The sequence below is a fragment of the Homo sapiens genome, chromosome 22 (assembly GCF_000001405.40).
Source record: "Homo sapiens chromosome 22, GRCh38.p14 Primary Assembly".
Lineage (NCBI taxonomy): Eukaryota > Metazoa > Chordata > Mammalia > Primates > Hominidae > Homo > Homo sapiens.
The window spans coordinates 25,101,549-25,121,321 of record NC_000022.11 but is presented as its reverse complement, the minus strand read 5'-3'; the positions used below and the strand labels follow the sequence as shown (position 1 = coordinate 25,121,321).

The 19,773-nt window shown below is 50.2% G+C and overlaps 1 protein-coding gene and 1 long non-coding RNA gene across 10 annotated transcripts in view, besides 2 other annotated features; one reads left to right on the top strand and one right to left on the bottom strand.

Annotated features, from left to right (window-relative positions):
- The window catches only part of KIAA1671, a 244,733-nt gene that overhangs the window by 76,127 nt on the left and 148,833 nt on the right, over positions 1 to 19,773 (bottom strand). The window contains exon 1 of one of the 9 annotated variants that reach the window (NM_001386934.1): positions 8,860 to 10,179. The exons of 7 other annotated variants lie outside the window; for them this stretch is intronic. In NM_001386934.1, coding sequence (NP_001373863.1) covers positions 8,860 to 9,144 — 285 coding nt within the window. In that variant the 5' untranslated portion in view covers positions 9,145 to 10,179. Of the gene's footprint in view, positions 1 to 8,859; positions 10,180 to 19,773 lie in introns of those variants that run through there. One more of the 9 variants, XM_047441557.1, reaches the window with a different exon arrangement.
- KIAA1671-AS1 (KIAA1671 antisense RNA 1) lies at positions 8,630 to 18,905 on the top strand. The gene is made up of 5 exons (NR_038941.1): positions 8,630 to 8,705; positions 8,899 to 9,135; positions 10,325 to 10,364; positions 11,204 to 11,321; positions 18,404 to 18,905. It is a non-coding gene; the product is annotated as a KIAA1671 antisense RNA 1 (long non-coding RNA).
- Positions 8,951 to 9,812: an enhancer, noted in NCBI's record as "H3K27ac-H3K4me1 hESC enhancer chr22:25507477-25508338 (GRCh37/hg19 assembly coordinates)". NCBI's record gives its function as "activates a minimal SCP1, AML or CMV promoter by ChIP-STARR-seq in naive and primed H9 embryonic stem cells {active_cell/tissue: H9 hESC(naive and primed)}" and the evidence as "EXISTENCE:reporter gene assay evidence [ECO:0000049][PMID:30033119]".
- Positions 9,813 to 10,675: an enhancer, noted in NCBI's record as "H3K27ac hESC enhancer chr22:25506614-25507476 (GRCh37/hg19 assembly coordinates)". NCBI's record gives its function as "activates a minimal SCP1, AML or CMV promoter by ChIP-STARR-seq in primed H9 embryonic stem cells {active_cell/tissue: H9 hESC(primed)}" and the evidence as "EXISTENCE:reporter gene assay evidence [ECO:0000049][PMID:30033119]".

The following is a 19,773-nucleotide window of genomic DNA, read 5'->3' as shown; positions in this document are numbered from 1 at the left end:
CCCAGCTAATTTTTTGTATTTTTAGTAGAGATAGGTTTTCACCGTGTTAGCCAGGATGGTCTCAATCTCCTGACCTTGTGATCCGCCCGCCTCGGCCTCCCAAAGTGCTGGGACTACAGGCGTGAGCCACCGCGCCCGGCCAACTAAAGACTCCATTCTTCATGAAATCCGAAAACGTAACACTCCCTGTGATGCGTATCAATCCAGATTTCCTTCCTGAAATTTCTGACTTCCTGATGAGGAAGCAAGAAGCATTTGTCTGAACAAAACATCTGAGATTAGAAAACGCAGGGAGAGGGAGAGAAAAGTGAGAGTAACAAAGGGGCCTTCTGATCACAGAAAGCAACGTGAGCTTACTTAAACCTCGGGGACCTCTCAGAAATCCAGATGAAGAAGTACACATGCAGGCCCCGCCCCTGCAGGGTCACTCCTGGTAGCCCAGAACGGGAAATTACCCAAATGTCCAGCCAGACAGGTTAATAAATTATGGAGCACACAAATGTTGCAAGGGCATTAAAAGTGTCATAAAGACATACAAAACTTTCACATTTTTTAAAGGATATAAAGAGAAAGAGGGTTGGCAATTTTGTTTGGAAGAGGGGGGAAAAAGACAAGAAGGAAATGCATTCCAATGCTAGGAGTGGTTTTCATCAATGTGATGTTAGGAGAATGGGTGGGCTTTGTTTTCTTTACATTTTTCTATATGTTCCAAGAATACATTGAGCACACCGTATTTTGTTGGTTGGGGAGACAGGAAAGGAGATTAACATTACTTAACAAAAGCAGATCCCTGTGGAGCACCCAAGCCCTCTGTTCTGCCCCTCCATTCACTCCAGGTCTCTCCCAGAGGCTCCTACTCTGAGACCCAGACTTTGGCCCAGGCTAGATCTATAAAGGAACCATTGTTCTCTGGGTGACATCATTCTGCTGCCAGGAGGGTGAAAGGAGACCTGAAATTGGGTGAGGCCAGCCAAAAAGAAAGCAGCCTGTCCTGCCTGCCTGGCGACACTGTAGCAGAGAATGAAGTGACATCATGCTGGCCTTTGGGGCTGGCTTTAAGTCTAACCCCTTGAATCCAAACCCCAAGGTGCAGCCCGAGACCAGGGCACCTGGCAGGGCTCTAGACATGACGTAGCAGGTGGCAGTTGGCAGTTGGCACAGGCAGTGGGAGATGGGGGAAGGGCACACAGCAGCTGGACCCCAGTTCTTTGAAGCCCAGATCTCCAGGAGAAATGTATTAGTAACAACCTGTGCCTGGCACACAGCAGGCACTCAAGAAGTGGTAGCTAGAGTTGTTATTCTGTTCTTCTCTTCCAACACTCCACACAGAGGCACAGATATAGCTCTCCCTTGCTCAGTACCCTCCAATGCTAAAATCTGACATCCTATCAGAATCCCCCTCCCTGGCCCTATCCGGCCTGGCCCCTGGCCCACCTCTCTGAGCTCACCTCTCCCACTGACTTGTGCTGCTCCAGTCACTCTGGGCTCCTTGCTGCTCCTCAAACACACCAGGCACGAACCTGCCTCAGGGCCTTTGCACTGCCTTTCCTGCTGTCCCAATGTCCCTCCAAACTTTCTGGGGCTCATCCCCTCACTCATGCAGGTCTCTGCTCCAATGTCACCTCCTGAGAAGACTTTCCTGACCACTGTTCCTAAAATACACTCCCATGGGTCCCCATGCCCTGTTACATTTTCTTCAGAGCCCTCACCATTATCTGAGAGTACTTTCTTTGTTCATTCATTGGTTTACTTAATTGTTTAATGTGTCTCCCTGCTCCTATGAGTCCCATGAGGGCAAAGACCCTGCCTGTTTTCTCCTCTACTGAGCACAGTATCTGGTACAAAACAGGTACTCAATTAAAAATTCCTAATGAATGAATGAGTGGTTTTTATTACCATTATACTTCAGATTTTCCATCCTGCCCTCTACAGGGAAAGAACTCCAGGCCTCCCTGGACTAGAATCCTGGCGTCAACTCTGAGATCAGATGAGACTGGGAGCATTCAGGGTGATGTGGCCGTACACTTCTTGTCATCTCTTAAGAGGTGTACACCAGGGCTGTGTCACTTATCCTCTCCAGGCCTCAGTTTACCCATCTATAATATGGAGGTGGTGTCACAGGGTGGACACAAGAATGAAGGACAGTGGATTTCAGGAAGGCAGATACTCTGTGAGCTCCTAGCCACTGTTCTGGGTACTGGCAATATCAAGGTGAACCAGGACGGCCAAAGCCCTGGCCCTCATGGACCTTACATCCTAGTAGAGGAGTCAGAGAATAAACCAGGGAACAAGTGACATGAAATAAGTATAGAATGAGATAGGTCCCAGGAAGAAATGTAGGATGGGTGCAGGGAAACGCAGGGAGTTCACCACAGCCTGGAACGTCGGGAAGCCTCTCTGCAGAGGTGAAGAGAGGGCAAGGGCATTTCAGCAGAGGGAATGGTGATGGCAAAGTCCTGGCGTCTGGAAGGAGCAGGGGGTGACTGACGAAGAGCAGGAGGTCAGAGGGGCAAGGTCAGAGTGAGCATAAAGGACAGAGGTAGGAGCTGATGTTAGCAGGGAGGCAGGGCCAGGTCGCACAGGAAAACTGGGCATCTAAGTCTGGGGTGAGGCAGGGGAATGACCTGATCTCTTGGGTTGTTGGGAGGAGAATGGACTGGATGGGAGGGGCCAGAGTGTAAGCTGTGGGGAGTGTGTGGGGGGCTGACAGTGGCCCCTAAAAAGATACGTTGGCTGGATGCAGTGTCTCACGTCTGTAATCCCAGCACTTTGGGAGGCTGAAGTAGGTGGATCCCTTGAGCCCAGAAGTTTGAGACTACCTTGGGCAACAAGGTAAAACTCTGTCTCTATTAAAAATACAAAAAAATTAGGTAGGTGTGGTGGTGTACACCTGTAGTCCCAGCTACTTGGGAGGTTGAGGTGATCATCCTAGGTGAGATCATCCTAGGTAATCCAGGAGGCTCCCATGTTCAGGGACAAGTGTCCTTACCAGAGACAGGAAAGGAGATGACAGAGAAGAGGAGATAGTGACATGAAGATAGAGGCAGAGATTGGGGTGATGTGGCCACAAGCCAAAGAATGCCTGGAACCACCAGAAGCTGGAAGAGGTGAGAAAGGATGCTCCCCTAGAGCCTCTGGAGGGAGGCGTTGACTGCTGACATTTTTTTTTTTTTTTTTTTTTTTGAGACAGAGTTGCATTCTTGTTGCCCAGGCTGGAGTGCAATGGTGTGATCTCGACTCACTGCAACCTCCACCTCCCGGGTTCAAGCAATTCTCCTGCCTCAGCCTCCTGAGTAGCTGGGATTACAGGCATGCGTCACCACACTGGGCTAATTTTGTATTTTTAGTAGAGATGGGGTTTCTCCATGTTGGTCAAGCTGGTCTTGAACTCCCGATCTCAGGTGATCCGCCCGCCTCGGCCTCCCAAAGTGCTGGGATTACAGGTGAGTCACCACACCCGGCCGACTGCTGACATTTTGATTTTGGACTTCTGGACTCCGGAACTGTGAGAGATGAAGTTATATTAATTTAAGCCACCAAGTTTGTGGTAATTTGTTACAGAGCCGGAGGACCCCAGTAGGGAGAGAGTACTGATGGAGATGGGGCTGAAATGCAGCTTCTGAAGGCAGGAGTTCTATACATCCTTTCCTTGCAATTCTCCCCCACTTGCTGAAGCAGTGTGTCTGTGTGTGTGTGTGTGTGTGTGTGTGTGTGTGTGTGTGTGTGTGTGTGTGTGGTTGGGGGAGATGCTGAGCCCTGCTGAATATTTTAAGCCTCCATTACAGTCCATAATTAACACAGAAGCAAATACTCCCACTCGGCCTTGGGCTGGAGGACTGAACGCTCAGCTCTGGGGCCGATGTTTAATAGTGAATCCCCAGTGCAGGGTGTGGTCATGCTCCCAGCAAGGCCGACACATGCTGGATGGAGTCCCCACTTCATGGATCCCCAGTCCTGTGACTTCCCCTCTCTGTGCTTCAGATTTCTCCATTCACAAAGTATGGGGCTATACCCCACAGGGGCAGCTGTGTGGTTCCTGGCAAGCAGGAGAGGCTCATGGATGTGGGATCCCTGCCCTTCTCCCCATATTTAAGTCACTGGGAGAATATACCCCAGCTACAATTATTGTGCCCCACACCACATTATATACGACAGTGTTCTCAAACCTGGATGGGGGCTGGGAGGGGGCATTGTGATTCTGCCCCCAAGAGACTTGGCAATGTCTGGATATTTTTGGTTGTCACAACTGTGGGATGCTACTGGCTTCTAGTGGGTAGGAACCAGGGATAAGCTTACAATGCACAGACTCTACCCCTTACCCCCCACAGCCATAAACAATTATGTAGCCCAATATATCATTAGAGCTGAGGCTGAGAAACTCTAATATACAGCAATAGTTTGAGGTTAAAGACAGACCCTTGATATTTTAAGATAGTTCTCTCATTTTCAGCACATATATGACATATTTACATTCTGATGTGTTTTATTATCAGCCTCACTAGAAGGCAGCTCTGTGAAGGCAGGAGTTTTGTCTCTTTCGTTCACAGCCATTTCTCCTGCACCAGAGTTGTGGTAGATACTCAGTAAATACTGACTGAGGGGGCCAGGTGTGGTGGCTCACACCTGTAATCTCAGCACTTTGGGAGGCTGAGGTGGGTGGATCACCTGAGGCCAGAGTTCGAGACCAGCCTGGCCAACATGGTGAAACCCTGTCTCTACTAAAAATACAAAAATTAGCCGGGTGTGGTGGAACACGCCTGCAGTCCCAGCTACTCAGGAGGCTGAGGCAGGAGAATTGCTTGAACCCAGGAGGCGGAGGTTGCAGTGAGCCAAGACTGCACCATTGCACTCCAGCCTAGGGGACAGAGCAAGACTCCATCTCAATACGTACATACATACATACATACATACATACATACATACATACATACATACATACTGGTGGAGGGGGTGGGGTACAGTGGCTCATGCTTGCAATCCCCACACTTTGGGAGGCTGAGGTGGGAGGATCACTTGAGGCCAGGAGCTCAAGACCAGCCTGGGCAACATAGCAGGACCCTGTCTCTACACAAAAGAAAAAAAATGGCTGGGTGTGGTGGCACATGCCTGTAGTCCCAGCTATTCCAGAGGTGAGAGGATGGCTTGAACGCAGGGTATCGAGGCTGTGGTGAGCTATGATCGTGCCACTCCACTCCAGCTCCAGTGACAGGGCAAGACCTTGTCTTCAAAATAAGTAAATGAAAATAGGCTGGGCACAGTGGCTCATGCCTGTAATCCCAGCACTTTAGGAGGTTGAAGCGGGTGGATCACTTGAGGTCAGGAGTTCGAGACCAGCCTGGTCATCATGGTGAAACCCTGTCTCTACTAAAAATACAAAAATTAGCCAGTGTTGTGGAGGGCACCTGTAATCCCAGCTACTGGGGAGGCTGAGGCAGGAGAATCACTTGAACCTGGGAGGTGGAGGTTGCAGTGAGCCGAGACTGTGCCACTGCACTCCAGCCTGGGTGACAAAGTGAGGCTCTGTCTCTAAATAAATAAATAAAAATAAATACTGGTTGAATGAAAATATGAGTGAATTAATGAAGACATGCAAGTTATATGCACCTGATGCTTAGCATGGAGCCCTGCACACAGTAAATACAAACACAGGTTGATCAGGCTCTTACTCTGCTTCCCTGAGGCACCAGTCTAGCCTTCTAGGAAGGTAGGACTCACATTACAGTCTGAGCCCCCCAAAAAGCAACGTGGAACGAACATTTATTCAGCACCTCCTGCATGCCAGGGCTATGCTTGCTCTTAGTCCACTCTGTCCCATTGAACCACCCACCAGACAAGTCCCAGCTGAATCTCCATGTTTCAGATGAGGGCACTGAGGCTGCAAGAGGTGATTTAAGCTGCCCAAGGTCACTCAGTTTGCACGTGGTGAGTTGAGACTCAGGCCTAAGTCTGTCTGACTCCAAAGCCCTCCTTGGTGCGGCACCCCATGGCCTCAGAGACCCCCCACTTCCCGCTTTTATTCCAGTCTTGGCCCCTGTGCCACTGCCATTGTTCCTGGGTTCTGGAATTTTCTGTCTGGCCTCTAACTGGAGTCCACCTTGTCTCCTCGGCTAAACCTGGAGTACCAGGCGTGTTTCTCAGGCTCACATGGGAGTGCAGCATAAACGTGCCTCTTCCTGCCTTTGTGGCTCAGAGACAAAGCATTTGTTTTCCCTCTTTCCCCCTTTTATCCCTTGGACACAGAAGCAGGCAGGCCATTAGCAAATTACTTCAAGGCTGGCTTTAGAAAACATTTCAGGGCACGCCTTTGAGGGTTATTTTGTGCCCGCAATAGATTCTTCTACACTGCTCTGAGTAAATACAAGCCGGAGGCAGGAACCAGGATGAAATGAATGGATTATTTAGATAAATCATGTACAAGGTCAGAAAGACTAAAATCCTGCCCCCTCCCAGCCCCAGCCACGGATACTGCTGTTGTCCCAAACTCTTAAGTAATTGTCTGTGGCTTTAAAAAGTTTCTTCCCATAAAACGAATATTTAAGTGAAGTCCCTGAGTAAAAAGGGCGTGTGTGGGTTTTCCAGCTCATTGAAAATCTTTGAAGTGATGGTTTGAGAGGAAAGGTTTGGTTGCCACAAGAACTAATTTTTAAGCACCACAAGCTAAGAACGGCCACGCTCACCACACATTTACCAGCACATCAATGCACGATCATCCCCATTTCACAGAGGAGGAAATCAAGGCACAGAGAGGGAAGGAGTCTGTCCAAGATCACACAGCTGGGAAGCGGCAGAGCCAGGACTCAACCCCTAGGCAGGGGGTCCCTGGCCTTGCGTTTCGTTGACTTATCTGCAACACTGCACATGTTCCTATCCTAACTCTGCCTTTATCCTGCTCAGGCAGAGTATCTAGGCAAGCAACAGAGAGAGAGCATTCACAAGTGTGCAGATTCTGTGTGCCTGGCACTGTGCTGGGGGCTTGCTTCAATCTCATACCAAGGCCTTGGTTCTCCTCATTGGACACAGGAAGAAACTGAGGCTTAAGAATGGGTCAGGGCTCCTCAGCCAGGAGTCTGATTCAAGCTGTCAAGGCCAAGGCCAGCTGGTGCCTACCACCCAGTAGGGTGGCTACATGGGAAGGAGCCTGAAGCTTGAATGTATTTAGCATGTATTTACACTCTTGGTGGCATCTCGACGCAACACGGAATGGTTCTCTGCACCACCCAACTTCATTTATTCAACCAGCTGGAGAGGCCACTCCTGCCAGTGGCACCAACCTGTAACACAGGGTAAGACGCCTAGGGGATTCATGCCAATGCCCATGGTCACACCACTCCCCAGGGTGGGGAAAGAGGGATGCCAACAGAGCCTGCCTGTCACCAACCCCATACCCTGAGAGAGAACAGGAGTGACAGAGAAACAAACAGAGACAGAGCAAGGCAGAAAGACACATCACAGAGACAGAGATACACACAGAGGGAGACAGAATGAATGAGGGGCCTTCTTTCCCTGTGGCAAGTCACACCTTCCAGAGGTTGGGGAATCTGTCTCATAAATCCAAGCCCCACTAATTTGTTCTGGGCCACAAAGAAGCACAGACCCACTGTGAAGGAGACGTCCTGTGAACGAGACACGTGTCATGCCCAAGTGCTCGGCTCCTGCCTTGCATTTGCAACTGCCTGCTCTGGCTGCTGCGTGACCTGGGGTGAGTCACACCTCTGGGTCAGCAGAGGGGATACTGAGCCCCTGCACCTGGCAGGGCAGCTGTGAGCCCTGCCACCTCGAGTGTAGGGAGGGCCAGCTCAGGGCTCCTCCCTAAATGCTGGGTCCCTTAATGACTATAGCACTCCTGGCTAGGAGGAACCCAGAAAAAGGGGCTGGCTTAGCCCTTCGCCTGTCCTCAAGTGCTCCCATAAACTGGGCCAACACAGTCAGGTGGCAGAAGTCTCCTATGTGAAAATGGCAGGCCCTCTCTTTAGGCTCAGGTCTGGTCAGTGACCTGGGCAGCCCTGAATTAATTGGGAGGGTCTGGGGAGAACATCTGCTGGGAGCTGGACTGCAAAGAGCCGTGAATGGGGAGGTCAGAGCCTGGGGTTCGGGACCTGGCTCTGCCACTCACTCACTGTGCTTCCCCCACAGTAGGCACTTTCGCTTTCTGGGCCCAGTCCCACCTCTCCAAATCATCAGAAGGACCTTACGATTGTTTCTGCACTGTCGCCTAGCAGGACACAGGCCAAGGTTTTAATCATTAGCTGTCATTCCACCCTGCTGTCCCAATCCAAGCCCTCCCGAGCCTGCCTGAGTAAGAAATCAAGGCCTCCCTCCCTGGCCCACTCACACCAAACCCAAGGTTCACGGCCAGCGGGCAAACTCGCCCACCACACCTCGGTCTCCTAAGACCCTTTCCTTGGCAATCCAATGAAAGCTCGGTGGAACGACAAAAGCTACAACTCAGCGTGCACATGACACCGCCACTTGTGCTTCCTAGGAGGGTGAGAGGAGATGAGGCAGGTGCCACTAATCCACCCTAAAAATAGGGAGAAGGATGAGCTTTCGTGTCGGGGGTTGGGGTGTTCACACTTAAACATAAATCAACTGGCAAATTCAGCCCAACTCACGTGCTGGCCCTGTCCACACAGACGTCGACTCCAGCAAAAATGTCCTGACTGACTTCAGGAGAGAGGAATTATTGCTACGTGCCTCTTTCCCAGGTACAGGGGACAGGAAGTGCCTGGGCTTTGACTGACAACTATTCTGGAAGAAGTAACTTCCCCGGTTTGATGTCTGGGACCCCCTCCCTGGGAGGACTGGAGGGGAGGAGCTTTCAGTGTTGTTTTAATATTTTTTAAAACATAATAAGCTTACAATATCTGGCGGTTCCGAATCTGTATGCCTTTTCCTCAGTGAAGAAAATCTCTGTTGGCTGCGAGCAGAGAAGCGGCGGAAGGATTCCCGACTCCGGGAAGCCAGGTGTCGGAAGGAGGAAGTACGCTTGAAGGGGGTCCGGCTGGCCGACTCTGCACTCGTCCGTTCGTGGCCCACCGTGGTGGTCACCAAATTGAGGGCTTCCTGGAAGGACCTCCTCACGGTGCCCATCCACTGGGTCATGTGGGTCTGGGCCACTGTGAGTTTATCTCCCAGGTAATCCATGGGGCCAGCCAGGAGGAGAGGGAAGAAGGAAGTTAGGGAGGGAGAGAGCAATTAAAACGCCAGTGTCCTCTTGCCTCTTTGGACTCTTTTGCTCATGGAAGTTTTGGGCTTGCTTGGAGGAAAAAAAATTAAAAACAGCAGCTTTCTTCAGGCAAACCAAGGGTAAGTAAACATCCCTGAGCCAGGAGCCGGCTGCATCCACGGGTGCCGCTCAGAATTAAGAGGCAGCTAAGTGCCAGGCTGGGAGTCCACCCCAGCGGAGTTATAAAGTCAACACACTGGGCAGTCCAGGTTCCAGTTCCAGGGCTCACCCAGCTGATCGGCCGAGACAAGGAGCTTTGAGGAACAAGCCGGCTGCACTCACTCCAGGGCGTGACGGTCCCGAAAGGCGGGGGATGGGGATGGGGGTGGGGGTGGAGGGGGCGGCCTTTGGGCACCCTCGTCCTCACTTCCCTTCAGGTAGGCAGCCCCCCTGAGGTGCACCCTGGGAGGTTCCGGTGGGCAAGCTGCCGCACCCTGCTGCCCCCTGCCCGGCTGCCCTCGGCCAGACCCCGCTCACCTGACCCATGCAGGTTTTCTGTCCTCTGGCTGGAGATTCCAAACCTGTCGGCCGGCAGGCGGCTAGCTCACTTCCGGAGGCAGCCACCAGGGCCCCCGGGTCCCCTGGCTGAGCAGCCCGGGATGACATCAGCCCCCGTCTTAGCGAGGGGCTTCGCTGCCCAGGAATGCAGGAGGGGCCTCGGGGAGGCGGAGGCGGTGGCGGCGGCCGCCCAGGGAGCTGACGTCCGCCCCCATTTTTTTCTCCCCCAAGTCCCAACTCGCTCACGGTCCCTCGGGGCTGATGGCAACTTCACGTGCCTGCCAGCCTACCCACCCCTGTGCCCTCACAGCAAGCGCACCAGGAAATGCGGCTGCACGTGTGTGCATGTGTGTGCACTCTGTGTGTGTGTGCGTGTATGTCGGCGATCTGGCAGCCCCGGGAAGGTTAGCACTGCTGGGAAACGGCTTCTGCCTCTAAGGTTACAGGCAGCGTCTTGGGACCTCTGGTCGGCTGTCAGTCTGTCTCCCTCTCGTGGTCTGTTTCTCTGTTGATTTCTCAGCCTCGCTCTCCTCCCTCTCCCTGTGTCTCAACTTCCACTTGCTTGTCTCTAAGCGTCTCTCCTCTCTCTCTCCTTTTCAGCTGTCTCTCCCTCCCTCTCTGGAAGGCAACACTGATCCAGGTGAGACAGCCTCTGAGGTCCCCCAGGAAGGACTGGGGAGGGCTGTATTTCAGTACAGGCGGAGTTGCCATGGCAACCCGGGGCACAGCATCTGCCCTGTCCTGGGCAGCAGGCTCAGCACTGGGAGCAATGGGAATGATTCATGGTTTACACTAGGTCACGTGAGCTCCCTGGGTTTTAACCCTTACAGGGCTGGAGTACTAGGGGTTGGGGGTACGACTAGACCCTAACACCCACTGTCCTCGGCCAGGCCCCGCTCATCTGACCCATGCAGGTTTTCTGTCCTCTGCCTGGAGATCCCAAACATGTCAGGGGTTGTTAGAAGGGGGTGGGCAGCAGCTGGATCCTGGAGGTCAGGCACACCTGTTAAAGGAGGTTTCTCCTTCTAGCAGGGATCCATGTCCCCCCAACCCCACTACTTTTACAGACAAGGAAATGCAGATTCAGAGACATAGATTCACTTGCCCAAGGTCACACAGCAAGGATGTCACCAGGCATGCACCAGAGCTGCTCCCACCCCAGGTTTTCCCAGGTCTGACATGGTACCTGGCCCAGAGTCAGGGCTCTGTAAATATTTATTGTTCGGACACCAAGTACACAATTGAAACCCAGGTCGCTCAGAATGCATCCTATGTCCTTTCCACCACCACCTCACTTCAGTTTTGAACAAATATTTGTTTTCTAGACACTGGTCAAAGGGCCTCACTTGAGAAAGTTTATCACAAAGGACTCTCTGGCAATATGGCCAACAGATCTCTTTCTTTTCTATGTATTCCCAGTCCTTACAGCTATTCATTCTCTTTCTCTCCCTGTCTCTCTTCTTCTTTTTTTGGATACAGGATCTCACTCTGTTGCCCAGGCTGGACTGCAGTGGCATGATCACAGCTCACTGCAGCCTTGGCCTCCCAGGCTCAAGCGATCCTCCCACCTCAGCCTCCTCGGTAGCTAGGACTACAGGTATGTGCCACCATGCCCAGCTAATTTTTTTTTGTGTGTAATTTTTGTAGAGACAGGGTTTCACCATGTTGTCTAGGCTGGTCTCGAACTCCTAGACTCAAGCGATCCACCTGCCTCAGCCTCCCAAAGTACTGGGATTACAAGCATGAGCCACCACATCCAGCCTCATTCATTCTTTCATTCATTCATTTAATAAAGATTCAGAGGGTGCCTACTCTGAGCCAGGCACTGCATAGAGATTAAGAGCAGAGGGCTCACAGCCCAGCAGGGGATGACAGTGGTGGCTAATATTTATCAAGAGGTAACTAAATGTCCAACACCATTTCTAAGCATTCACAGGAATCAACTAATGAATTTTTTTGCATGAACCCATTTGACAGAGGAGACTGAGATCCACAGAGGTGAAATCATGTACCAAGGTTATGGCTGATAGATGTCCTCCAAGATGACCATCAGTAATCCTTGCCCCCTTTTATTCATAACCTGGTGTGGTCCCCTCCCACAACGAATCAAGGTTGGTCCGTGTGGTTAGCAGAATAAAGAAGTGATGGGCCGGGCGCGGTGGCTCACGTCTGAGTAAAGAAGAAGTGATGGGCCAGGTGCGGCGGCTCATGTCTGTAATCCCAGCACTTTGGGAGGCCGAGGCGGGTGGATCACAAGGTCAAGAGTTCAAGACCAGCCTGGCCAACATGGTGAAACCCCGTCTCTACTAAAACTACAAAAATTAGCCGGGCACAGTGGCAGGCACCTGTAATACCAGCTACTTGGGAGGCTGAGGCAGGAGAATCGCTTGAACCCGAGAGGCAGAGGTTGCAGTGAGCTGAGATCACACCACTGCGCTCCAGCCTGGGTGACAGAGTGAGACTCCGTCTAAAAAAAAAAAAAAGAAGTGATAGTGTAGGACTTCTAAAGCTTGGTCATAAAAGGCATCATGGTTTCTACCTTCTTCTCTGAGGTCATACTGGGGAAAGCCAGCCGCCATGTTGTGAGGATGCTCAAGCAGTCACACACAGAAACCCACATGGAGAGAATCTGAGGCCCCCAGCAAACAGCTAGCACCAGTTGCTGGCCATGTGAGTGAGCCACTATGGAAGCAGATGCTCCATCTCTAGTCAAACCCTTAGCTGACCGTAGACCTGGCCAGTATCTTGAGTACAACGTCATAAGAAATTCCAAGTCACAGTCACTCAGCCACACTGCTCCCAAATTCCTGGCCCATAGACATCACAGAGATACAAGTGCCCAGAGGCAAGTAGGTAACTGGTCCATGAGAAAACTGAAGATTGAAGGCAAAGATGGGGTGGGGGGCTCTTGCAGCAGCCTATATACCTTACATTGATATATCCAGAAGTATTACTCCACCATGCAGGTGAGGAAACATACACAGGAAACATACACAGGGCTAGGTCGCACTTCCATGAGTGCCTGGCTCCACCCTCCACCACATGCAGCCTCCTAGGTCCCAGGACTTCTGGCATCCAAAGTGGGCCTCCAAAGTTTGTCCATTTTCCCCACACAGATTGCCCATAGTGAGCTCCTACACCATGAAGTCCTCTTCATGGTCTGCTCCCTCATTACGCAGGCCCAGGACGTCCAGAGTGGAAACAGGAACAGACCTGAGAAAGAGCTGAGTCCTCCCCGCTGGCCCCAGAAAAGTCACACCAGAAATACCTAGAAAGCTGGAATGGCACACAGCTTTTTAACAGACCATCTGGACATCGGGGTGGGAAATCCACTGGGGTCCTCAGGAGGAAAAATGTTAAATCAAAATAGAAAGTAAAACACCTTTAAAATGATCATACCCAGTGTTGTCAAGGTTGTGGTGAAACAAGACACATATGTCCACAGCAGATGGACATGAAAACTGATATATATTTCCTGGAAGAAATTTAACACCCTAAATCAAAAGTCTTAAAAAATAATGGCTTGCCAGTTAATGACATACATATTGAAATGTACAGCTGAAATGTACTGATATCTATAATTTTTTTTTGAGACAAAGTCTTGCTCTGTCACCTAGGCTGGAGTGCAATGGCGTGATATCAGCTCACTGCAACCTCTTCCCACTGGGTTCAAGCGATTCTCCTGCTTCAGCCTCCCGAGTATCTGGGATTACAGGTGTGCACCACCACGCCTGGCTAATTTTTGTATTTTTAGTAGAGACGGGGTTTCACCATGTTGCCCAGGCTGGTCTTGAACTCCTGACCAGTGATCCGCCCACCTCGGCCTCCCAAAGTGCTGGGATTACAGGCATGAGCCACCATGCCCGGCCAATAATTTATTTTGAAATGCACACACACACAAAAAATGGAGTGCTGGGTGCTGTGGCTCACACCTGTAATCCCAGCTCTTTGGGAACCCAAGGTGGGAGGATTGTTTGAACCCTGTAGTCCCAGTACTCTGGAGGCTAAGGTAGAAGGATTGCTTCAGCCTGGGAAGTTAAGGCTGCAGTGAGCTGTGATCACACCACTGCACTCCAGCCCGGGCAACAGAGTGAGAACCTGTCTCAAAAAAAAAAAAAAAAAAAAAAAGTGCCATGGATGGATGGCTACATTTTTATAAAGCACACATAGCACTTTTTTTTGAGACGAAGTCTCACTCTGTTGCCCAGGCTGGAGTGCAGTGGTGTGATCTCAGCTTGCTGCAAACTCCGCCTCCTGGGTTCACGCCATTCTCCTGCCTCAGTCTCCCGAATAGCTGGGACTACAGGTGCCTGCCACCACGCCCGGCTAATTTTTTTGTATTTTTAAGTTTCCTGTGAGACACCTGGTCATGGGGGGGTTTCACCATTTTAGCCAGGATGGTCTTGATCTCCTGATCTCGTGATCTGCCCCCCTCCGCCTCCCAAAGTGCTGGAATCACAGGTGTGAGCCACCGCACCCCAGCCACATAGCAAATTTTATAGAATCTAGCTGATGGGTGTTTTCCTATATAATTTTTCTATATGTTTGAACATTTTCATAACAAAAGGTTGGGGTGGGGGGGCACTGTGTCCAACTTTTGACCCTATAGTTAGTGATCCAGTTCCACACACAGGAATTCCTTTGGAAATAACAATAATAATATACAAACATTTTGCTATAAGAATGTTCATCACAGTCACATAGATAATGATGAAAAGGTGTAAGAACCTAATTATTCAAAAAGGGACTTGCTCAGTGCAGTGCAAGCCATGCTGGCGCCAGAGGCAAAAGGAAAAAAATAAGTAATACTCATCCTGTTTTTATTTATAGTTCTGATTCCTTTCTCATCACAAATTTTTGCATTAATTTTAATTTTTTAAAAACAATTGAAATATTATTCAGTGATCAGTGACTTTTCTTGATGTCCCCCAATTTTGTGCCCTATGTGAGCACCTCACTTGCCTTATTCTAGACCCACCCCGTCCTTGCTAAATAAGTATAGCATCATGATTAAGGGTTTGGAGACCCAGCTATAGCTCTTATTAGCTGTGTGACGGTGAACAAGTTACTTGACTTCTCTGGTTTTCAGAGATGAAGTCATCAAACTCATCATTTCCATCGATGCAGCTAGTACCTCCCCTGACTAAGATCCCCTTTTCTAGAAGGTGCACACACACACGTCAGCTGCTGTGAATGCTGGTTACGAAAGGCTCAGAGCTCTACCCTCCTCTGGAGAACTGCCCTTACTGAAGGCTATGTCCAGATGCCCACAGCCAATGACTGACCAATACAGAACACAACACTCAGGTCTCCTTGCCTCAAGGCACCACCAACTCAGTGATGCAATTCACACTCTAGGGGTCCCCATGGGACTGGGCTGAGGCTGGGGCTCAGCTGAAACCACATCTGTAGTTAGCTTTGTCCCCTGCCCCAGTTGTTGCCCTTTCTTCCTTATGGGTTTCGCTTGAGAGCTTTCCCTCAATGAATCACTGCACCAGAATCCTCATGTCAGTCTCTGCTTCTAGGGAACCTGACCAAAGACCACCACCACCATCACCACCATCACTACTGCTAACTGAGCACTTACTATGTGCCAGGCATTACATTGCATCACTGTATTACACCATCAGCTCCTCCCAACAATGAAAGGAGGCTGATACTATTAATATGGTTATCACTCACATTTTACTGATGGAAAAACCACGGCAGAAAGAAGTGAAATGACCAACACAAGGTCACACAGCTATTAAGTGGTGGAGTTTGGCACCCCCCCCCCCCAACTTCATACCTGTGACAAGCTATATATCCTGGCCCTCACCAAATCAGTCTGGATGGCGACAAGCGCCCAGAAAAGCAGAGACCAAATGGCAGGTGGGATCATCCAGTTCTGCCTCCTTCCAGAAAGGGGAGAGGGGTGCAGAAGTGAGCTACAAAGCCAGATTCCTGCTTGTTCCCTCCTGGCTTCCTTTAGGTACAGAGCGGTCTGCAAGTGTGACTATAAAAAGCTTCGCTTCCTGAAAACTGGGGCAGCACAAGCATTTTCCCCCCCAGAGGACTTTTTCTGCAAAGTCTTCTGTTCTCTCCAGGAAACTCTTGGGATGTTTTGGGCATCAAAAAAGAAAGAAAACCATCTTTTTCTTACATAATTAATCCAAAAAATGCTGGAGAAGCTGCTGAGATCCAGGAAGTAAATGGGAATTTCTTTTACAATGTGAGGCGAGACACAGAGATCGCCATTTCTAGACAATCACGTGTGATTTCAGAAATCAGAAAATGGGCCAGGCGTGGTGGCTTATGCCCGTAATCCCAACACTTTGGGAGGCTCAGGTGGGTAGATTCTCTGAGGTCAGGAGTTTGAGACCAGCATGGCCAACATGGCGAAACCCCATATCTACTAAAAATGTAAAAATTAGCTGGGAGTGGTGGTGGGCACCTGGAATCCTAGCTATTTGGGAGGCTGAGGCAGGAGAATTGCTTGAACCCGGGAGGTATGTTGCAATGAGCTGAGAACACACCATTGCATTCCAGCCTGGGCAACAGAGCGAGACTCAGTCTCAAAAAAAAAAGAAAAGGAAGGAAAGAAAGAAAGAGAAAGAAGAAATCAGAATATGTCGGTCATTCATTCATTCAACAAACATTCCCTGGACAGTTACTTTCTGCAAGTTCAGTGTTGGGCTTGAGGGGACCTATGGTCTCTGAAGAGCTCAGTGTATCTATCTGATTCTTAGCCATTAAGGGTGGAAGGCCAACTCAAATCTGAGGCTATCCCATTTTCTCCCCAAAATCAAATACAAAAATGTATAATTTTAAGAATCCCTGGTCTGGTGGAAGAAAGAAATAGGAAAAAAAAAATGAACAATTGCCAAGGGTTCTGATGAACAAGTGAATAACATGCTATGGGAACATAATAGGGAGGGTGAACCCCAACCAAGAAATTCAAAGGTTGAGGAAAGAAGGTCACAGGGAAATGATCACTTATTAAAGACTTACAATCAAAAGAAGGGTATCTGGGTGGGGTTTTGAAGGATAAATAGGAGTATTCCAAGAGGGCTGAAATTGAGAACACCACGTGCAAAGGCCAGGAAGTCGGGGCACGTTCAGTCTTGCCCTCGGAGTTCTGGACATGTGGCATCCCTGCCTACAGCTGCCTTCCCCTCCTCTCCCACCTCCAAGACAACCTTCGGCTTTTTCCAGATCTCCCGCAGGAGGTCCCACTCATATGACCCTCTTCACATCCTGCTTCCTAAAAGATTGGACATTCCAGGACTGTGCATCCTAGACTAAGAGGTACACTAATATTATGTTAATAAAGAAGGTGGGGCCAGGAGCAGTGGCTCATGCCTGTAATCCCAGCACTTTGGGAGTCTGAGGCGGGTGGATCACCTGAGGTCAGGAGTTCGAGACCAGCCTGGCCAACATGACAAAACCCCATCTCTACTAAAAATACAAAAATTAGCTGGGTGTGGTGGCAGTTTCCTATAATCTCAGCTACTCAGGAGGCTGAGGCAGGAGAATCGCTTGAACCCAGGAGGCCGAGGTTGCAGTGAGCCAAGATTGCGCCACTGCACTCCAGCCTGGGCAACAGAGCAAGATTCCATCTCAAAACAAAACAAACAAACAAAAAAGAAGGTGGTACAGTGGAAATAATAACCACTAATGGAGGATTTACTGTGTACCCAGGAAACGTTTACTTGCACATCTCACCTCATTAACCCTCAAAACAACACTTGAGCGTGAGTCGTATTAGTGATGTTCCCCATTTTGCAGAGGCCAGTGAGGTTTAAAAAGCCAAAAGGACTTGCCCTGGGCTGGTTGTGGTGGCTCACGCCCGTAATCCCAGCACTTTGGGAGACCGCGATGGGCGGATCACAAGGTCAGGCATTTGAGACCATCCTGGCTAACACGGTGAAACCCCATCTCTACTAAAAATACAAAAAAAAGGCCAGGTGCAGTGGCTCACACCTGTAATCCCAGCACTTTGGGAGGCTGAGGCAGGCAGATCACGAGGTCAGGAGATAGAGACTATCCTGGCTAACACGGTGAAACCTCGTCTGTACTAAAAATACAAAAAATTAGCTGGGCGTGGTGGCAGGCGCCTGTAGTCCCAGCTACTTGGGAGGCTGAGGCAGGAGAATAGCGTGAACCTAGGAGGCGGAGCTTGCAGTGAGCTGAGATCACACGACTGCCCTCCAGCCTGGGCAACAGAGCAAGACTCCGTCTTTAGCCGGGTGCGGTGGTGCGTGCCTGTAATCCCAGCTACCCGGGAGGCTGAGGCAGGAGAATCGCTTGAACCTGGGAGGCAGAGGTTGCAGTGAGCTGAGATTGCACCACTGCACTCCAGCCTGGGTGACAGAGCGAGACGCCGTTCTCAAAAAAAAAAAAAAAGGCGGTTGGGGGGGGACTTGCCCAAGGTCACTGAGCTGGCAAGAGGGCTCTGGGACTTGAACCCAGACCTGTCTGATCCCAAAGCCTTTCACCACCTCATTTCTCTGCACTTACCTGGGTTGTTCCCCAGGCCTCTTGTGAGGGTCAGGAAAAGCCTTCAGAAGGGCTTGCCCAGTTGCCAATTGCATTAGTTTCCCTTTCTTGTCGACTGGCCTGGAGACAAATTCCCAGGACTACGTGTGGGAAGGGCTGGCTCATGAACTCAGCTTCAACCTACTTTTTTCTCTCTTTCAGGTGGAGCAACACCGTCAGTCAGAAGGCAGCGGATGGCACAGGGCTTCCGCGTAAGGCCTGCATCGCCTGAGTCATGGTTTTCTCATCTTGTATGAGGCCCACCCCCTTCAAAAGGTTGTGACAAAAAAAACAACTGAGATAATTTGTGCCGCTGGCACATAGTTAACACTCAATAAGGCCGGGCGCAGTGGCTTACACCTCTAATCCCAGCACTTTGGGAGGCTGAGGCAGGTGGATCACTTGAGGCCAGGAGTTCGATACCAGCCTGACCAACATGGTGAAACCCCATCTCAACTAAAAATACAAAAATTAGCCAGGCATGGTGGTGTGCACCTGTAGTCCCAGCTACTTGGGAGCCTGAGGCAGGAGCATCTCTTGAACCCGGGAGGTGGAGGTTGCAGTGAGCGGAGATGGCACCACTGCACTCCAGCCTGGGCGACAGAACAAGACTCTGTCTCAAAACAACAACAACAACAAAATAATAAATGGTGACCACAAGGGATGATCGTTTTTCTATTATAATTCCTATCATCTCACTGTTCAAATGAATCACAGGACCCTAGACAGTCAGAATCAAGACACCAGCAGGGACCAACCTAGGCCAACCTTCCCACTAAACTGAAGAAACAGGCCCAGACCGAGGGCTGCCCTAAGGCCTCACAGTCCATCTGCAGCAGGCGCCCTCTCTGATATCTCCTAGGAAATGTGCATGATCTGAACTTTGACAGCGTCTGCAACCTCACATATTACCTGTTTCCCAGCTTCTTTCTACCCTGAACAAACTGGACAGATGTTAATCCTGGAATGTGCCATGACATCTCTGGTTCAGCCTTTTGCATATGCTGTTCCCTCTGGCTAAGACACCTTTCCACCCCTTCCTCACCTGGCCAGCATCTAGTCCACCACAGCTCAGCTTAGATACTCCCGCCTCTGAGACACCTCCCGTTTCCTTATATCCATGGGGGCAGGGGGCACCTCTGGGGTCCCACTCTGCCTATGTAACCCCTACCGAATCACACAGTTTACCTGGCCATAATTTGGTTTACCCATCAGTCTTCCCCTCCAGGTCCCGAGCCTGTGGGCGGCAGGGACGTGTCCTGTCCACCCTTGACACTCAACATCCTGAAGAGGCTCTCATCGTACCCACTGTGTGAGATGAAGGAATCACTGAGGCTTGAACCCAAGTCACAGGACTCCAAACATCCTTCTTGGGAGACTTGTTTCCAAGGCAACAGGGAAAGGAATTCAGATAAAAGAAAAAAAAATAGAAATGACTTGATTTTACAAGTCAATCCCAGATTATTTATAAACCAAGCCCAAGATTATTTCCTTGTGTTAATTTATCACATTCTTCTTCAAATAGTCATTTT